Here is a 20,659-nt window from a genome sequence, read left to right as displayed (position 1 = left end):
AATGGGTAAGTTCTCCCTCCACCTGTGTGGTTTTATTTTATCTTCAACTTATTTAAAGAAATTGTGTTGTCAGTTTCCCAGTCTATCCTGGTAATTGCATCCTGATGTCTCACATATTCCTGTGTCCTCTGTAATCCCTGTAAATTGGTTGTTGGATCTACAGCCTTGATCAGATCTAATTCTCCAAGATGAGGGTGCATTCTCTCTGAGAAAATTTGCATTTGCCTTTGTCAGGCAGCTAGTGGCGGCATTATCAGGCCAAGACCTCTACCAATTCAATTCTCGACTTCTCATTTTTTTGCCTACTCTAGGTGTTATGACTTCGGGCTGTTATTCTGTGAGGGCCAGTAGTGATTTTAACTTGTCAGGATTGATTGATTGAGTTTTTGGTCTCTTCTGCTCATGCCAAGACAATATTCCTTGCAGTCCTTCTGGGGGTGGGAAGGAGGGCGAAATTGTTTTATTCATCCCCATCCCCACTGAGGATAAAGCTCTGTGGGGTGTTAGGTTTATGGAGTGTCTTAGTCTTTAAGTCTGCTGTCCTTTGTCATCTGTCCCTCCACCCCAAAACTGAAAACTAAAACTTAACATGAGTCAGGAGCAGAGGCACCTTTTGCAAAAGTGCCTCTAATATTCTCACTTAGATTTCTGACCTAAGCCCCTTTATCAACTATGCAGTGTTTTTAGTGTGTGTTTAGTATTTTCATCTGGAATCTTTTGTTTCCCCAACTCTCCCAGTTAGGGAGTCAGTCTGAGTTTTCTAACTAAGAAATGCATGTGAAATAAAGATGTTCCTCAACTTACAATGGGGTCACTTATGTAATAAACTCACTGTAAGTTGAAAATATTTTAAGTGGAAAATGCATCCAATACCCCTAAGCTACTGAACATCATAGCTTAGCCTAGCCTACCTTAAATGTGCTTAGGAAAGTTAACGTTAGCGTGGCTGACTAGGAGCTGCAGCTCGCTCCACTGCCCAACATCACAGGCGAGTATTGCACCACATATCACTAGCCCATCACCAGCACAAGAAAAATCAACATTCATGCTTTGAAGGATGGTTTCTACTAAACGCATACGGCATTCACACCATCACAAAATCGAAAAATACGTCAAACCATCCTAAGTGGGAGACCATCTGTACATATATCCTATATTAAATAGGGCGGGCTAATGTAGCAATGCCAAAAACATGTTTTGACTAATGTACTTCCTGCCATTAGCACTTATTAAGCTAGTCCGTGTCATTTAGTTTTTTCCTACTTGAGGCTAGAACAGGATCATATACAGCAATCCTCCCCGAATAAAATTCCCTGGCCGGGTGTGATTGTTCACACCTGTAATCCCAGCACTTTGGGAGGCTGAGGCGGATGGATCACCTAAGATCAGGAATTCGAGACCAGCCTGGGCAACATGCTGAAACCCCATCTCTACTAAAAATACAAAAATGAGTCAGGCATGGTGGTGGGTGCCTGTAATCACAGCTACTTGGGAGACTGCACCACTGCACTCCAGCCTGGGTGACAGAGTGAGAATCCATCTCAAAAAAAAAACAACAACAACTGTGATTTCCTTTTTTTGATTCCTAACACTCAGAAGTCATCAATGCATCGAGAACTAATTTTCACATTATTTGCATATAATGATAAAAAATGATGTGGCAGAGACTGCTATTCATTCTCCTAATATCCATTCTCTTTCCTCCAAGAGAATACCAAATTTCAGCAGAACATGGCAGTCTGAAATAGAAAATTTCCCAGCCTCCCTCGCAGCTAGATATGACATGACTAGGTTCTGGTCAATAGGACGTAAGTAGAAGTGTCCTACGGCAGGTTCCAAAAACCATCTTTAAGACCACTTGGCACTTGCCTTTTGCTCCCTTTTTCTTTGTCTTTCCTCCAGCAGAATACAGATGTGACAGTTAGAGATGTAGCCACCCACCCTGGCCTAGGAAAATGAGGGCCATTATCTTGGGTATGGCAGAATGATGAACTTTCCTAGATTCCCAAAAGCGTCAAGTAAAGCAGTCCTGGAATTTTTATCCCTGGGATTTTATAGGAAGAAAGAAATAAACTTTTACCTTTTGCCATTAGTATTTTGGGTTTTTCCAAAGTACCAGCTTTCGTATAAAGGAAGAAGGCAGAATCATAAATGGTAGGTTTTCAAAGACATATACTGTGGAGCCACAACTCTCTGGAGAGAACAGTAGACTATTATCTCTTTATAAGTAACTATTCTCTCTTAGGACAAATGCAGCTGCTCCATATTAGGAGTCAGAGAATGTGGTTCAAGTTATACCTCTGACATTAAACAGCAAACCAGTTAACTTCTCTAAGTCTATGTGGCTTTATTCATTAAATTGGGATAGCACTACCTATGTAATAAAATTCTCTTGAGATTTAAAATATAACATATACGAGAGTATCCCATAGTATAAGTCACTATATACATAGGAGTTGATAAGAATAATTATAATTCTGGATAAAAGCTCTATCGCATTTACCCTGTAACCCCAGTAACGAGTGCTCTAAATATTTGTTAGATAAATGTTTTTAAGTCCTTGCAAAATGAGTGAATTCTGCTTTGGACTCGAATATAAAGTTCCAAGGTCATTAATATTATTTAAAGCATTACTTGAGTCTCTAAGAGATTCTTTTTTTTTTTGAGATGGTCTCACTCTGTTGCCCAGGCTGGAGCTCAGTGGCACAATCTCGCCTCATCGCAACCTCCACCTCCCAGGCTCAAGCAGTTCTCATGCCTGGGATTACAGGTGTATGCCACCATGCCTGGCTAATTTTTTGTAGAGACAGAGTTTCACCATGTTGGCCAGGCTGGTCTCAAACTCCTGACCTCAAGCAACCTGCCCGTCTCAGCCTCCTAAAGTGCTGGGATTACAAGCATAAGCCACCGCGTCTGGCCTCTAAGAGATATAATTCTTAATTTTGATATCAGTTAAAAGATACAGGGTGTGAGGAGAGAAACCATAGCCAATCCATTTATCTGGTTCAAAAGTAGACTCTTATTTGCTACAGAAAACGTAAACCAGAAGAAAAGTTTTGGTACAGAAATAAAATTTTCATGACACTTTCCCCCTGAAATTACAAAGTTAGACATGAAAATATTTTAAAATATTTAACCCACTAACTCTAATACATCAAATGAAGGATTTCCTCACACTGGACTGTGGCTAAAGTATTTTATTAAATTAAGTATGTAATTTGCAAATGGCTTCATAAGAAAATTTAAAAGCAAATTTATAAAACATTTTCAATTTAAAAAGTACAGAGTTAACAGCAAAATTACATTTTCTATACAGTACAAATAAAAACATTTTTCTGATATACTGTCTGAAAATTTTATAATATATTCTCCAACTGATAGCTGCAATATTGTATTTTAATGAGAAGCCTCACAGTTAACTCAATCATTTATTAATAATAAGTTCATCATTGGACCATAAAAGTCAATTGCTCAACTTTAAGGAAAATAATGAACTTTGTCATCATATAATATGAAGTTATAAACGGCTCTTCAGGATGTAGATGTGTTCTAGCCTTGTTTCTCTATTAAATTCTGTAAAGAAGCATTAAGTAATACTGTAAACTTGAATTACATTTTAAAAATAAGCACCATGAACATACATTCTACATAAACTTATTTTACCTTTTAAATGACACCTTTTGGCCACATAAACATTTAAATCTGTTTTCTTTACATGTAAATAAAAATTGAGCAATATTTAACTACTACACCGAAAAATTACCAAACTTCACCTCATTGCACAATGGAAAAGCACTTAGAAAAAGCACTTGGAAAAAACAGCACACGTTATTTTTGTCTTTTTTATACATTTCGTCATTTTCTTAAATTGAGAGCAGTTAAAACATTGTCAGAGCAATTTCCTGAGTTTCCAAAGTTTCCAATTTCCAGCTCAGAAATAACCGATCTCAATATTATACATGTCTACTTTCTAAGCATACAAAACACTTGAATTCAAAAAGAAAAGACCTAAATAAAGGATGGAAACCATCCAGAAGAGCAGTATAGCTTTTCTTCTCAAAATATACTACTCAAGAGGATTTAAAGTCAAAATTTCTGCTATATAATATGTCCTATATTTAAAGGCCATAAAGTTGCAAATAGTATGGAAATACTAACCAATTGAAGAAACTGCACATTAAAAATAATGTAGAGAAATATGAAGAGCCAATAAACGTAAAAAAAAAAACACTTCCATTTCTCACATTGGAATAAAGAGATGGACAGACTGAAAATACTGTTAAGTGTCTAATATCTCCCTGGTCCAACTGGACACCCTCTGGGGTTTCCACATTAGTCCTCTTTTTCCATCTGGGAGATAATGGTAAGAGACTACTGAATGAATATAATTATTACTGAAACCTTCCATACTACAGAAGTGCTGTACTTTTAAAATATTAAGTTTACAAAGAATCATTCTAATGAGTCATGTATTAGCACAAATATACAGGTTGAGTGAGTATCCCCTACTCAAAATGCTTAGGACCAGAAGTGTTTTGGATTGCTGGGGTTTGGGGGGATATTTTAGAACATGTGCATTATATTTACTTGTTGAGTATCGCTAACCTACAAATGTAAAATGCTCTGTGAGTATTTCCTTTGAGCATCATGTCTGTGCTCGAAAAATTTCAGATTTTGAAGCATTTCAGATTTTGAATTTTCTCATTAGGGATACTCAACCTACACCAATACATGAAAATTTTTATAATCTCCAAACTATCTTTGACATACAGGATTTAGAAATGGGTAATAGAGAAAACTTTTAAAATCCCCAAACTATCTTTACTGCGGGCATACAGGATTTAGAAATGGGCAAAAAAAAGAAAGGAGGGATTACAAACTTTTCTTTCAAAATTATGTGTTGCTTAAACTATGCTAGATAGTGGGGTGGGAGGCAATTTGGAATTAAGCAGCTTCATAAAAATACATATGATGCTCAAACTTTGCCTGTATATTTATCAACAATGATTAAGATATACTATTTGATTTATCAAAATAAGGCATAATATTAACATTGATATAGTAAACAAGTAAACAATATAGCTTTTTTCATTTGACTTCTGCCCACGGAATACCACACCTCTACTTCTGACTGCTCCTTCATTAATCATAATTATAATATTGAAATAAGTCTAGCTGAAGTGCCGAAAAGTGATGATTTTTAAAACTAGGTAAGGAAATATAAAAACACAGAAAGTGAGTATGCAGCTGCACACATTCCAATTAACTCCACATTTTAGCACTGTTTTTCATACCCTTAAATCATACTAATGTATACATAGGAATATCTTATTTCATTAACAATTATAGTTTCATAGTAAGTTGTTTAAAGGAACTGCTTTATTTTTAATGTTTATTTTTAATGTATAGAACTGTTCTAGAGATTACAAAAGTGTGCTAAACTGTTGGCATTCTTTAAATAAATTATTACAAACATAAGTGTGAATAATACTTCAATACCAGTCACTAACCATTTCTAAATAATAAACATGTATTTTCATTTTTATGGAACTAAAATTCAATGATAAGCCTCCTTATTTTAAAAGCATGCAATCATGATATATAAAAAAAATGTTTTGGGGTTTTATTTTCATTGAAATGTCTGCTCTTTTGGAAAACCATTCTGTACTTTAGGATTCTTTTGGTACCAGCTCAATCCTATAATTTCTGATCCAAATTTTTTTTTAAGCTTAACAAAAAGCAACAAAACTATTTGTTAAAATTATGTATGTTGAAAATATTCTCCATCTCCAAAGGCAAATTTAAGCCATTGTCTCATATTGGAAAATTATACCTTACCACATTATAACCTCCTTTACACAGGTTTAACTTGCATACTAACAGAATTTATTAGCTAACCAAACAACAGAAGTTAATGACAGCTTCCTTTGAGAAAGTTGGCTCTTTTTCAAAATAAAAGTGAAAATATTTTAAATTGTAAGGATTCTTCTTATGATTATAACCAAAATATTTTCTCTTTTTTTTCTTTTTTTTTTTTGGAGACGGAGTCTTGCTCTGTCACCCAGGCTGAGTGCAGTGGTGTGATCTCGATCTCGGGTCACTGCAACCTCCACCTCCCAGGTTTAAGCGGTTCTCCTGCCTCAGCCTCCCAAGTAGCTGGGATTACAGGCACACGCCACCACACCCAGCTAATTTTTGTATTTTTAATAGAGACGGGGATTCACCATGTTGGCCAGGCTGGTCTTGAACTTCTGACCTCAGGCGATCCACCTACCTCGGCCTCCCAAAGTGCTGGGATTACAGGCGTGGGCCACCACACCAGGCCAATTATAAACAAAATATTTTCTATATTTGTTTAATAGAATTTTAACCTACTGCAGTTTTAAAATTACATGCCTCAAAAATAAAATATAAGTATTTAGTACTGTCTGAAATACGACTTATACAGACAGTTCTAGAAGCATTTCGATAAGGCAGCAACATCTGGAAGATATTTAACCATTTCTTTTTCTCTGAAAACCTTTCTGTCTATAGAAAGTATAAAATTACAATATAATCTCAGACCCAACTTTCTTTCCATAAAATGCACACAGAAGAACAGAACAAAAGGTAAAAGATCAAGGTCATATACAAAGCAGAAGAAAGGGCAAAAGCATGTCTTCCTTCCTGTAGGATATGGCAAAATAAAAGCATTTTATGTGTTTAGTTTTGAAAATAAAAAATATTCAAGTGTTTTTGTTAGATCTCCTTTTTTTCTTTACTACCACTACTATGTCCTTTTTCCTCTTTTAATACCACCCTTTGGGGGGCATGAATCAGGTCTCAAAGCACTTTAAATACCTCTCACAAAAGACTTTTAGGACATTACTAAATGTCATACAACAATTAATACAAAGGTAACCTTTTCTGAGAAACAATCAGAGCATTTTAAACTTTAAAACTGTAGCTGATAATTTTCTTACATATTTTGTAATCAATAAAATTTCTCTGTAATATCTTTAACAGGTAACATTTGCATTTGATTCAGTAAAAAATCAAACCTCACTTGCATTTTGAAAAACATCATAATTTTTTTGTTTCATAATTGAATATTATTTATAATAAAACACATCTTTAGGGTAGAATTGACTGAATTACTGCAAATAAAAGTAATTTTAACCTACAAACCTTCATACTTCTAATTCAAGGATGTTTATTTTACTTTAGCATGACTTTCAAGCACCCTGGTTTAATTTCAGAGAACCTGCAGAAATGAGAAAAGAGTTATTTTAAAGATGAAAATTTCAAATTAGCTAAGGAATATACCTTGTAATCAATTCCAAGTACCTACGCTTAATATAATATTTACTACCAAAGTATTGACCCTTATTAAGTCAATATCCAAGACCAACATCTAGGTTTGTGTTCCTTTTATCTACGGTCAAAACAAATACAATCTTAAAGCTGGAGGTTGCTCTTGACTTAGTATAACTTAAGATTTGTCAAAACCTGTGAGGCCTGAATTTTACCTTTATGAAAAAGAGTATGCTGTAGGAAGAATAAAGTCCTTGGTGCATCATGAAAGCACCAAGAAGAAATCTCTGATATATCAGGTAAGTCTGATTAATCTGGCCATGCAATGCTTTCAACTCTATCCGGAGAGAATTTAAAGGAAGACTAGTCTCTAAAATAGATAATTAATCTCAACATAATGTTCTGGTCTAACTACTCCTTTTATAAAAATAACCCTGATGTCACCTGTTTTATGCTCATAACTTATGCTATCATTTTCGATAATGTAGCCAAATAACATCTTATTACATGGCATAAAATAAATATGCTACACTGAAATTGGTGGGTAGGAGTTAATGATACACATCTGCAGGAAATCTATCCATCAACAGATATTTCATCTTTGACTTTCTTGTCATTTTCTGTTATTAAATAATTATCACTTAATGAAAAAGAACATTTCATGTTTGTCAACACAGGTCATTAATGGCATTTAACTTATGAAAACACAAATAAATTCATATTAACTGAACATTTCTGCTAAAGTTTAAACGTACCTAAATTATAACTATATTTCAATAGAAGCCACCCAATTCCATCCAAAATCCACAAATACTGATTTCCTTTCAAAAGAATAATAGCAAATCTTAAAGTATGATACATATTACCTAATTATTTTGCATATTATCAAAGAAACAAATATATTTACTTTCTTTTAGAACTTTAAATTTATGATAGAAAGTTTTATCAGATGATTATTGGCAACAAACACATTTTTCCTTATTTCTGGTTTACCAGACAACATAAATCCAGCAGGGAAAGTTATATCATAATTTAAGCATGAATCTGTGGCTGAAATCAGATGATTAAATTTAGTTAACTATTTTAACAGATTGTTCTGAGTACGCTATTAGTGTTTATTTACCTAGCTATATTAGGGCTATTGCTATTATCAATAACAGAAATCTATACTCACAGAAATATCTGATAAAGATCTATATGGGCAGTTGCCATTATTAATAACAGAAATCTACACTCACCTGAAGCTATGGCTTATGAGGTACTTAATGACAGCTGGTTTGATGCGAGCAACTCCTCCCTGGCTGTGGTTTCCTCTCCCCGTAATCACAGACAAATAGGGCTTCCCACCGTTCTGCTTAAATTCTGTTACAACAGAAATCAGGGGAGTTAAAATTCATTTATCTTACATTCTCAATAGAAAACGTAAACCTTAGCTACTCAAGCACATGAAATTGTTTTCATGAGGATTTTGGGGTTTGCCATCTCAAAACTGTAATAGTAAGACAGATTTGCTATCTCAAAAAGCCCCCAAATTAATGTTTTAAGATGTATGTTTTAAAACACATAGCCTCATTGTAATCTATCCATCAAAAGATTTGGTGGGACTTCTTCCTTTATGGGGGAAGAGATTTCTGTGCACTACCAGAAGTTCTCCCTGAAATAATGATAATGGCAATAATACCATTAATGATACCTAACAATTACTATACAAAAGGAGTCAAGTACTGCTTTAAGTGGCTTATATTTATTAACTAAGAATCTTCACAACAACCCTGTTAATTAAATATTCTAAAGCCATCAAGCTTTGTTCTGAATCATAGCTCTGCCACTAAATGACTGTGTGACCATGGACAAGTTACTTAGCTTCTTTTGTGCCTATTTTCTCATCAGGAAAAAGGGATAATGATAGCAACTAGTTTATAGATTATCTTCCAGTAATAGCTATTAGCAAATCCACTAGTCACAGCTGGATTGCAGTCTTACTATTAAAGATAATCAATTGTTAACAAACTTTTCCTGATAGATAGTTCTTAAAACATCAAAGGAGTCTGAGCCTCCTAAAATACTGAAGTTCCATTTTGGAAATGACCTTGTGAAAATCAAGGATATAAATCCTGAAAACTAATAAAAGCTGTAGCAGAATAACAAAAACAACAAAAAAACTATTAATGAGATGAATTAATAAATTTAAAACACACAAAATATAAACATTCCACGGTCTGCTTATTAAATTGTCCTAATACTCCTAATAGAATACAAACAAATGGTTTTTCAAGTATCATATCTCCAAGATGATATTCAGCCTGGAATTTTAAAAGAATATGTTGCTCTTGCATTTCTAATTCCTTGTCTATGATCTCCATCTCTAATCCACATCCATTACTTCAAGCAATATGTTGCTCAAAATTCAACTGAGTGCTAGCTTCACAAAGGTATTCACAGTGCACAAAATTCTAGGTATATAGTGTAAAACCTTTTTACGAACTTTTTACAAAGTTTTTGCACTATATACCTATAATTTTGGGCACTGTTCTTTACATATGTTATATTACGCATAAAAGTTTTACATTGGCCAGGGACAGTGGCTCATGCCTGTAATCTCAGCACTTTGGGAGGCTAAGGAAGGTGGACCACTTGAGCTCAGGAGTTCAAGACCAGCCTGGGCAACACGGCAAAACCCCATCTCTACTGAAAATACAAAAATTAGCAGGGCATGGCGAGGCGCACCTGTAGTCCCAGCTACTTGGGAAGCTGAGGTAGGAGGATGGGTTGCACCTGGGAGGTGGAGGGTGCAGTGAACCAAGGTCACAACCAACTGCCAGCCTGGGCAACAGAGCCAGACTCCCATCTCAAAAAGAAAAAGTTTACTTACAAAAAAAGCCCAACTAAATCTCTAATCATAACTCACACTCTTCACTATGGCTCCCCTTATCACTTAGGTCAGTCATTTATACGATTATCACCTGCTAATAGTTCACTTATTGCTCTGAAAATATTCTCTAGTTGATTCACATGCCTCAAGTAAGAGTTCAAAGGATGTTTGTTGCATGAAGTAATGTATATGTTTCGTTTCCCAAATACAGGCTGTTCTTGCTGTTTAACGCCTTAGAAAGGACTGTTTAACTCATTTTTCAGCACACTCCAGATACTTCAACTGCAAATATTTCAGTACATACCTCATAAAAGATAAGGACTCCTTTAAAAAGCATAACTACAATGGCACCATCATATCTTATAAAATTAATAAAAGTCCCTTAATATCATTAGTTTCCAAAATTTCCCCCAATTATCTCAAAAATATGTTTTTACAGTAATTTGTTGGCATCAAGATTGAAATAAGTCTATACATTCTATTTGATTGATATATTTCTTAAGTAACAAGGTTTCCCCTCCCCTGGTGTTTTTCTTTACAATTTATTGAAAAAAATTGGATCATTTATCCTAGACTTCCTCTTTTTTTTTTTTCCCCCTGAGACAGAGTCTCACTCTGTTGCCCAGGTTGAAGTGCAGTGGGATGATCTCGGTTCACTGCAGCCTCTGACTCCTGGGTTCAAGCGATTCTTCTGCCTCAGTTTCCAGAGTGGCTGGGATTACAGGCCTGAGACATCATGCCCAGCTAATATTTTTGTATATTATTAGTGGAGACGTGGTTTCACCATGTTGGCCAGGCTGGTCTCAAACTCCTGACCTCAAGTGATCTGACTGCCTCGGCCTTCCAAAGTGCTGGAATTACAGGCATGAGCCATCACACCCAGCCTATCCTAGATTTTCACAATCTGAATTTTGCTGACTGTATCCCCATGGTGTTGTTTAACATGTTCCTCTGTCCCCTGTAAATCCCTATAAAATGGTAGTCAGTTCTAAAGGTTTGATCTGCTCCTAGTTTGATTTGGAGGCAAAAATGATTCGTACGTAGCAGTGTATATTTCAACCAGAAGGGACATAAGGTCCAGATGTCTCTCTTTTTTAAAAAATTCATCTCCGATTTTAACACTCCTTAATCTTATGTCAAAAGGCAATGCAGGTCAGAGCCACAAATCTTCCACTGGATTCATTTCTATTCAACAATACTGCCACCTGGTGGTGACTGACAGTAACTACAGACTACCACAGGTGGCAGCATGCACTAGAGATGGGCCTTGGCTTCCAGAAAAGATCTGCATCTTGGATCTTGACCAAGTATTACCTTGGGCAAATTACTTAGCTCTTTTTTCTTTTCTTTCTTTTTTTTTTTTTTTTCTTTTTGAGATGGAGTCTCGCTCTGTCACCCAGGCTGGAGTGCAGTGGCTCGATCTCGGCTCATTGCAAGCTTCGCCTCCCTGGTTCACACCATTCTCCTGCCTCAGCCTCCCAAGTAGCTGGGACTACAGGTGCCCGCCACCATGCCCAGCTAATTTTTTTTTGTATTTTTAGTAGAGACGGGGTTTCACTGTGTTAGCCAGGATGGTCTTGATCTCCTGACCTCGTGATCCGCCAGCCTCGGCCTCCCAAAGTGCTGGGATTACAGGCATGAGCCACTGAGCCTGGCCTCTTTTTCTCTTCTTACAATTTTTTTAATTGAGATAAAATTAACATAAAACTAACCATTTTAAAATATGCAATTAAGCGGTTTTTAGCATATTCATCATGTTGTGCAACCACCACCACTAATTCCAGAACATTCCATCATTTCACAAAGAAATTCTGTGCCTCATAGCAGTCACTGCTCATATTCTTGCCATTCCAGTCCCAGCAACCACTAATCAAATTTTTGTCTCTCTAGATTTACATACTCAGAACATTTGGTAAAAATGAAATCATACAACATATGGCTTTTTATCTGCCTTCATCTTTCACAAAGAATAATGTTTACAAGGTCCGCCATTTCTCTACATGGCTAAATTAAATTTCATTGTATAGATTTACCACATTTTGTTTCTCTATTCATCAGTTAATGAACTTTTAGGTTACCACCACCTTTTGGCTGTTGCAGACATTCATATGCAAGTTTCCGTAAAGACATATTGTGTTTTTATTTCTCTTGGGTACATAGTTAGGGGCAGAATTACTGGGTCATACGGTTAATTATATGTTTAACCTTTCAAAGAACTAGTGAAATTTTTCACAGTGGCTACACTAGCAATATATGAGGGCTCCAATTTATCCACATCCTTAACAATACTGATTACTTTCCATTTCATTTTTCTGTTTTTCGATTTTTCAATTTTTTTTTTCTTAGAGAGTCTCACTCTGTCATCCAGGCTGGGTGAAACAACCTAATTGTCCATCGATGGATAAATTGATAAAAAAATGTGATATAGACACAATGGAATATTATTCAACAATAAAAAGGGGACCAGGCACAGTGGCTCAGGCCAGGCATGGTGGCTCACATCTGCAATCTCAGCACTTTGGAAGGCCAAGGTGGGAGGATCACTTGAGCCCAGAAGTTCGAGACCAGTCTAAGCAACACACTGAGACCTCCTATTTCTTTTAAATAAAAATAAAAATTTAATTAAAAATTTTTTAAAAGGGGAAAATCCTGCCATTTGCAACAATACAGATGTGGCTGGAGGGCATTATACTAAGTGAAATAAGCCAGACACAGAAAGACAAATCCTGTATGATCTCACTTACATGTGGAACCTAAAAAAGCCGAACTCCCTCTCCCCCTCCCCCTCCCCCTCTCCCTCTCCCCACAGTCTCCCTCTCCCTCTCTTTCCACGGTCTCCCTCTGATGCCGAGCCGAAGCTGGACTGTACTGCTGCCATCTCGGCTCACTGCAACCTCCCTGCCTGATTCTCCTGCCTCCGCCTGCCCAGTGCCTGCGATTGCAGGCGCGCGCCGCCATGCGTGACTGGTTTTCTTATTTTTTTGGTGGAGACAGGGTTTCGCTGTATTGGCCAGGCTGCTCTCCAGCTCCTAACCGCGAGTGATCTGCCAGCCTCGGCCTCCCGAGGTGCCGGGATTGCAGACGGAGTCTCGTTCACTCAGTGCTCATTGGTGCCCAGGCTGGAATGCAGTGGCGTGATCTCGGCTCGCTACAACCTCCACCTCCCAGCCGCCTGCCCTGGCCTCCCAAAGTGCCGGAGATTGCAGCCTCTGCCCGGCCGCCACCCCGTCTGGGATGTGAGGAGCCCCTCTGCCTGGCTGCCCAGTCTGGGAAGTGAGGAGCGCCTCTTCCCGGCTGCCATCCCATCTAGGAAGTGAGGAGCGTCTCTGCCCGGCCGCCCATCGTCTGAAATGTGGGGAGCGCCTCTGCCCCGCCGCCCCGTCTGGGATGTGAGGAGCGCCTCTGCCTGGCCGCGACCCCGTCTGGGAGGTGAGGAGCGTCTCTGCCTGGCTGCCCCGTCTGAGAAGTGAGGAGCCCCTCCGCCCAGCAGCCGCCCCATCTGAGAAGTGAGAAGCCCCTCCGCCCGGCAGCCACCCCGTCTGGGAAGTGAGGGCCAGCCGCCCCGTCTGGGAGGGAGGTGGGGGGTCAGCCCCCACCCGGCCAGCCGCCCCGTCTGGGAGGGAGGTGGGGGGTCAGCCCCCGCCCGGCCAGCCGCCCCGTCCGGGAGGGAGGTGGGGGGGTCAGCCCCCACCCGGCCAGCCGCCATGTCCGGGAGGGAGGTGGGGGGCGCCTCTGCCCGGCCAGCCGCCCCGTCCGGGAGGTGGGGGGCGCCTCTGCCCGGCCGCCCCTTCTGGGAAGTGAGGAGCCCCTCTGCCCGGCCACCACCCCGTCTGGGAGGTGTACCCAACAGCTCATTGAGAACGTGCCATGATGACAATGGCGGTTTTGTGGAATAGAAAAGGGGAAAAGGTGGGGGAAAAGATTGAGAAATCGGATGGTCGCTGTGTCTGTGTAGAAAGAAGTAGACGTGGGAGACTTTTCATTTTGTTCTGTACTAAGAAAAATTCTTCTGCCTTGGGATCCTGTTGATCTATGACCTTACCCCCAACCCTGTGCTCTCTGAAACATGTGCTGTGTCCACTCAGGGTTAAATGGATTAAGGGCGGTGCAAGATGTGCTTTGTTAAACAGATGCTTGAAGGCAGCATGCTCGTTAAGAGTCATCACCAATCCCTAATCTCAAGTACCCAGGGACACAAACACTGCGGAAGGCCGCAGGGTCCTCTGCCTAGGAAAACCAGAGACCTTTGTTCACTTGTTTATCTGCTGACCTTCCCTCCACTATTGTCCTATGACCCTGCCAAATCCCCCTCTGCGAGAAACACCCAAGAATGATCAATAAAAAAAATAAAAAAATAAAAATAAAAACATTACCTGGGGAAAAAAAAAAAAAAAAAAAAAGCCAAACACATAGAAACATAATAGAATGGTAGTTGCCAGGGGCCAGAATAGAGAGGAGGAAATGAAATGCTGGTCAAAGGGTACAAGCTTAAAAAGAATACATTCTGCTGAGCTAATGTGTAGCATGGTAATAATATTTAATAGCACTATATCATATACTTGAAATTTGCTATGAGAGTAAGTCATAGGTGTTCTCATCCCCCACACACAAAATGGTAACAATAGGTGATGTATGTGCTAAAGTACTTCATTGTGGTAATCACTTTACAATGTGTACATTTATCAAATCATCACATTGCATACTTTCAATATAAACAATCTTATTTGTCAAAAAAATAAGAGTAATAACTACCATTATTTAGTCATTTATTCAAAAACTTTTTTGAGTGTTGAAGAAAAAACATGATCATCACTGGCTCAATTCTTGGCCAAAAAGACAGGTATTTAATAACCAATTATACAATAAGCTTTTTATAAACACTGTGAGAGGTAGGAGTACTGTGAGAAGTTATTAACAGGGGGCCTAACTAGTATGGGGGTCAAGACTGACAGTGTAGTTAAATATACAGAAAAGGAGAAAAAAACACAGGGTGAGACTGGAGAGGTAAGCAAGAGATATTATGTAGGGATTTTAGAATTTATCCTAAATACAACTTGTATTTTCTTATTTTATTTTATTTTATTTATTTATTTATTTATTTATTTTTGAGAAAGAGTCTCGCTCTGTCACCCAGGCTGGAGGGCAGTGGCGTGATCTTGGCTCACTGCAACCTCCGCCTCCAGGGTTCAAGTAATTCTCCCTGCCTCAGCCTCCCAAGTGGCTGGGATTACAGGTGCATGCCACCATGCCTGGCTAATTTTTGTATTTTTAGTAGAGACGGGGTTTCACCATGTTGGCCAGGCTGGTCTCGAACTCCAGACCTCAGGTGATCCGCCCACCTCGGCCTCCGAAGTGCTGGGATTACAGGCATGAGCCACCGCACCCGGCCACAACTTGTATTTTCTTATCACAATGCTAATTACTTATGTAACTATTTTTTCACTGTTATCTATCCTACTAGATGGTATACCCCACTAGACAATAAACTCCAATAAAGACAAGGATTGTGTGTCTTTTTCACCACCTTATCCTTGATGCCTAGAATACAGAAGATAATCAAATATTTATTGAGTAAAACACTATTAATTCATCCTCTATAGAAAGAATATTCTTTCATAACACTTCTATATACTTGAAGAGTTTTCTTCTCTCTGGATTAAATAATAATTTAAACGGCTCTTAAAGTTTCTCTTTTCTAATCTTTACTGTTTTCTAGATTTTCTACAAGATTTCCAAAATTCAATTTAAAAACAACTGGGGTCAGGCTAGGAGCAGTAGCTCACTTTGGGAAGCCAAGGCAGGTGGATTGCTTGAGGCCAGGAGTTCAAGACCAGCCTGGCCAACATGGTAAAACCCTGTCTCCACTAAAAATACAAAAACTAGCTAGGCTTGGTGACACCCGCCTGTAATCCCAGCTACTCGGGAGGCTGAGGCACGAGAATGGCTTGAACCCAGGAGACAGAGGTTGCAGTGAACCGAGATGGCACCACTGCACTCCAGCCTGGGCAACAGAGTGAGATTATGTCTCAGAAAAAGAAACAAACAAACAAAAAAACTACTGGAGTGGGAGAATCCTATCACCTTATTTACTTCTGTATTTTATCAAGCATCTACTGAAAAATTGAAATCCAAGAAATATCAATTAAGTTTAATAAATGTCTATTGGACAAAGATATGTAATATTCCTGAAAGGTCTCATTTATAAGTCACAGAGAGGATTCGCAGATTACACCATGCCCTCCCGTTAATAAATACAGCACAGGAATACAAATGAAGAAAATGTTAATCATCATACCAATGAGGATCCTTTCCCAAGAAGGTTCTCTTGAAGAATGAATAACATAAACATTTACAGATGTTACACAGATATTCTCAGCCTGCATATTCAGACTCTCCTGAATTTGCAAGCTATACCAATATAAGCAAAGACATATATTCTATTGAAAACTTGTGATTACCACAGTCCTACCTTCAGTCTTCTTCTCTAAAACTCTCATCAAATGTTCTAGAGCTTCATCCACATGCAGCCCATGGAGGTCTAAAACATTCTGTGGCAGCAGCGAAGCATTGACTTTCTCAAAGATCTCTATGGCAGCAAGGTGATTGGCTTCTTTCATCTTCTGCTCATGAAGAGTACCCTAAATCATAAACATATCACCAAGGGACAGTTTTGCTGTTTGCTACTTGGGTGATGAGGAAGTTAATAGTGCCCCAAATAAAAGGAAGGGGGAAAAAGGGAATAATAAACCTAAAATCTTAAATAATGCAATGAGTTTAATATATAAGAATGCACCAAAATTTAGGTAAATTTCAGTGACTTAATAATGTAGTCCTTAAACTACTGAGTCATTCTTTCTAACATTTTCTGAACCAAAAGTCGTAAAAGTGGGAAACTTAACTAAACACGATCCTCACATGTGACAGTTAATTTTAGGTATCAATTTGACTGGACTGAGGGATACCTAGATGGCTGGTGAAGCATTGTTTCTGGGTGTCTCTGTGAGGGTGTTTCCAGAGAAGATTGCCCTGCATGTCAGTGGACAGAAAGAAGACCTCCCCTCCATGCGGGCAGGCACCAACCATGTGGGCAGCTGGAGGCTGGCTAAGACAAACAGGCAGATGTTCTCCTCCTGCCTTTGGAATTCAGACTCCACATTCTTCAGCTTTTAGACTGTGGAACCTGCACCAGCTGCCTCTTGGTGGCTCTTGAGCCTTTGACCCTGGACTGGGGGCTGCAGTCAGTATCCCTGGTTCTGAGGCTTTGAACTTCGACTGCGCTACACTCCTGGCTTTAAGCTATGCTATCGAATTCTTTGGTTCTCTAGCTTACAGCTGGCCTATTATGGGACTTCTCCACCTCTATGACTGTGAGAGCCAATTCCCCCTAATAAATTATCTTTCATATATCCTACTGGTCTGTCTCTCTAGAGAACTCTAATACACCATCTCAAGAAGGAATCACTGGTTTATTATTTGTGTATCCTTTGATAATGCTGGGTCTCATCTTGGCGTTCACCTTCAACATTTTGTAGTTACCTACCCCAGAAGCTATCCCCCAAGGACTACTGTTAGGGCTCACAGGCCTATAGCAGTTTGATACTCTTCTCTGCTCAATCACAAAGAAGTAACCCATATGGCAACACAAACATAAAAAGTTAAGCAGATTCCTGGCCGGAAGTAGTACCTTGCACTTGTAATCCCAGCACTTTGGGAGGCTGAGATGGGAGGATTGCTTGAGCTCAGGAGTTCACGACCAGCCTGGACAACATGGTAAGACCCCATACAAAAATTAGCTGGGCCTGGTGGCACGTGCCTGTAGTCCCAGCTATTTGGGAGGCTGATGTGGGAGGTTCACCTGAGCCTGGGAGGTCAAGGCTGCAGTTAGCGGAGATTGCACCACTATACTCCAGCCTGGGCAACAGAGCAAGACCTTATCTTAAAAAAATAAATAAATAAATAAAGCAAGTTCCTTATAATATCATGTTAAATGAGCCCAGGTAGAAATTTTACTTCCCAAAAAAAATTAATGTTATTTTTGTACTATGAAAGTGATATATTACCAAAAATTCAAACATGACAGAAGGCACAAAACCCCTTTAATCTCACTCTCAGATGGCCAATATTAATATTCTGCTGCCAGAAATATGGACTGTCAGAATAAACTGTAATTCACATAAGCAGTAAATGCAAAAGCAACCACAGAAACTGAGCATTTCAAATGCTCAAAACAGCAGGAGATGAAATTCTCAGAACCATACATTTCTTAGGATACCTTATTTATGTCACTTACATAACTACTACATTCCCCAGAATAACTTAATCTAGTCACAATATGGGTGTCTTATCTGCTTCAAGAGTATTTAGTTATTATAACTGACAAAAAATATATAATCAGTTTTCCACTTTACCTGCTGGGCATAAAAGGTGGCGACATTTTTTTTCCCTATCCGATAAGCTTCTTTGGCCTTGCTGTAGCACTCCATCCTCTTCTGTTGGTGAAGGAAAGCCTCTGCTCTGTAGTCATCATAGTCTGGGTACTCAAAGTCCTGGAAAGACAGTTCACTTGGTGTTTCTTCAGTCTCTTTTAATTTCTTTGGCTATAAGATATTAAACAATAAGTAACACACACAGAAAGTTAAAAAAAAAACTCATGCCTTACACCTTCACAAAACGCACATGAAAACTGGGCTGTCGTATATTTTCATCTCTCTCCTCAGGAAATAGATTCTCCCCAGCGTCTACCTTGTAAGTCAGGCATTTATCGACTATCATTAACTTTTTTATGCCGCTAAGGTTACCCTTTCTTTAACCACTCTCGGGAGATGTTGAAGAGTTCTCTAAAATTATCAAAATACAATTAGGGATACTGAACTCCGAGTTGGAAGAGGCGAGTTCAGTCTCAAAATGGAGGTAAAACCACCACCCAGTCACCCCCAGCCCAACTCCAGCCGTCGCCACCACCGCCAGAGAGAGGAGGGCCATGATCCAAAGGAACCAGAGCAGTTGAAAAAACTGTTCATTGGTGGTCTGAGTTTTGAAACTACAGATGATAATTTAAGAGAATAAGTGCAGAGGCTGAAGTGAAGTTACCAAGGTTACACGCTGCCCTCTCCCTCTCCCTCTCCCTCCCCCTCCCCCTCTCCCTATGGTCTCCCTCTCCCTCTCCCCACGGTCTCCCTCTCCCTCTCTTTCCACGGTCTCCCTCTGATACCGAGCCGAAGCTGGACTGTCCTGCTGCCATCTCGGCTCACTGCAACCTCCCTGCCTGATTCTCCTGCCTCAGCTTGCCGAGTGCCTGCCATTGCAGGCACGCGCCACCACGCCTGACTGGTTTTCCTATTTTTTTGGTGGAGACGGGGTTTCGCTGTGTTGGCCGGGCTGGTCTCCAGCTCCTAACCGCGAGTGATCCGCCAGCCTCGGCCTCCCGAGGTGCCGGGATTGCAGATGGAGTCTGGTTCACTCAGTGCTCAATGTTGCCCAGGCTGGAGTGCAGTGGCGTGATCTCGGCTCGCTACAACCTCCACCTCCCAGCCGCCTGCCCTGGCCTCCCAAAGTGCCGGAGATTGCAGCCTCTGCCCGGCCGCCACCCCGTCTGGGAAGTGAGGAGCGTCTCTGCCTGGCCGCCCATCATCTGGGACGTGAGGAGCCCCTCTGCCTGGCTGCCCAGTCTGGAAAGTGAGGAGCGTCTCTGCCCGGCTGCCATCCCATCTAAGAAGTGAGGAGCGCCTCTTCCCGGCCGCCATCCCATCTAGGAAGTGAGGAGCGCCTCTGCCCGGCCGCCCATCGTCTGAGATGTGGGGAGCGCCTCTGCCCCGCCGCCCCGTCTGGGATGTGAGGAGCGCCTCTACCCGGCCGCGACCCCGTCTGGGAGGTGAGGAGCGTCTCTGCCCGGCTGCCCCGTCTGAGAAGTGAGGAGACCCTCCGCCCGGAAGCCGCCCCGTCTGACAAGTGAGGAGCGTCACCGCCCGGCAGCCACCCCGTCCAGGAAGGAGGTGGGGGTCACCCACCGCCAGGCCAGCCGCCCCGTCCAGGAGGGAGGTGGGGGGGTCAGCCCCCCGCCAGGCCAGCCGCCCCCTCCGGGAGGTGAGGGGCGCCTCTGCCCGGCTGCCCCTACTGGGAGGTGAGGAGCCCCTCTGCCCGGCCACCACTCCATCTGGGAGGTGTGCCCGGCAGCTCATTGAGAACGGGCCATGATGACAATGGCGGTTTTGTGGAGTAGAAAGTGGGGAGAGGTGGGGAAAAGAGTGAGAAATCGGATGGTTGCCGTGTTTGTGTAGTAGGAGGTAGACATGGGAGACTTTTCATTTTGTTCTGTACTAAGAAAAATTCTTCTGCCTTGGGATCCTGTTGATCTATGACCTTACCCCCAACCCTGTGCTCTCTGCAACATGTGCTGTGTCCACTCAGGGTTAAATGGATTAAGGGCGGTGCAAGATGTGCTTTGTTAAACAGATGCTTGAAGGCAGCATGCTCGTTAAGAGTCATCACCACTCC

General features: G+C 40.5%; 1 protein-coding gene across 12 annotated transcripts in view, besides 1 other annotated feature; it reads right to left on the bottom strand.

Moving 5' to 3' along the window:
* The window catches only part of N4BP2 (NEDD4 binding protein 2), a 133,621-nt gene that overhangs the window by 29,036 nt on the left and 83,926 nt on the right, over positions 1-20,659 (bottom strand). For 7 of the 12 annotated variants that reach the window (NM_001318359.2, NM_018177.6, XM_047415957.1 and 4 more), the window contains 4 exons: positions 18,574-18,762; positions 16,635-16,803; positions 8,532-8,655; positions 3,183-7,243 (listed from right to left, as the gene is read on the bottom strand). In NM_001318359.2, the coding sequence (NP_001305288.1) occupies positions 7,198-7,243; positions 8,532-8,655; positions 16,635-16,803; positions 18,574-18,762 (528 nt within the window). In that variant the 3' untranslated portion in view covers positions 3,183-7,197. Of the gene's footprint in view, positions 1-3,182; positions 7,244-8,531; positions 8,656-16,634; positions 16,804-18,573; positions 18,763-20,659 lie in introns of those variants that run through there. The other 5 variants (XM_011513716.3, XM_047415954.1, XM_047415953.1 and 2 more) reach the window with 4 other exon arrangements.
* Positions 13,063-13,844: an enhancer, noted in NCBI's record as "H3K27ac hESC enhancer chr4:40149211-40149992 (GRCh37/hg19 assembly coordinates)". NCBI's record gives its function as "activates a minimal SCP1, AML or CMV promoter by ChIP-STARR-seq in naive H9 embryonic stem cells {active_cell/tissue: H9 hESC(naive)}" and the evidence as "EXISTENCE:reporter gene assay evidence [ECO:0000049][PMID:30033119]".

This window comes from Homo sapiens, chromosome 4 (genome assembly GCF_000001405.40).
Source record: "Homo sapiens chromosome 4, GRCh38.p14 Primary Assembly".
Taxonomy (NCBI): Eukaryota; Metazoa; Chordata; class Mammalia; order Primates; family Hominidae; genus Homo; species Homo sapiens.
Note: the sequence above shows the minus strand (reverse complement) of the source record. Positions and strands in the feature narration are given on the sequence as shown.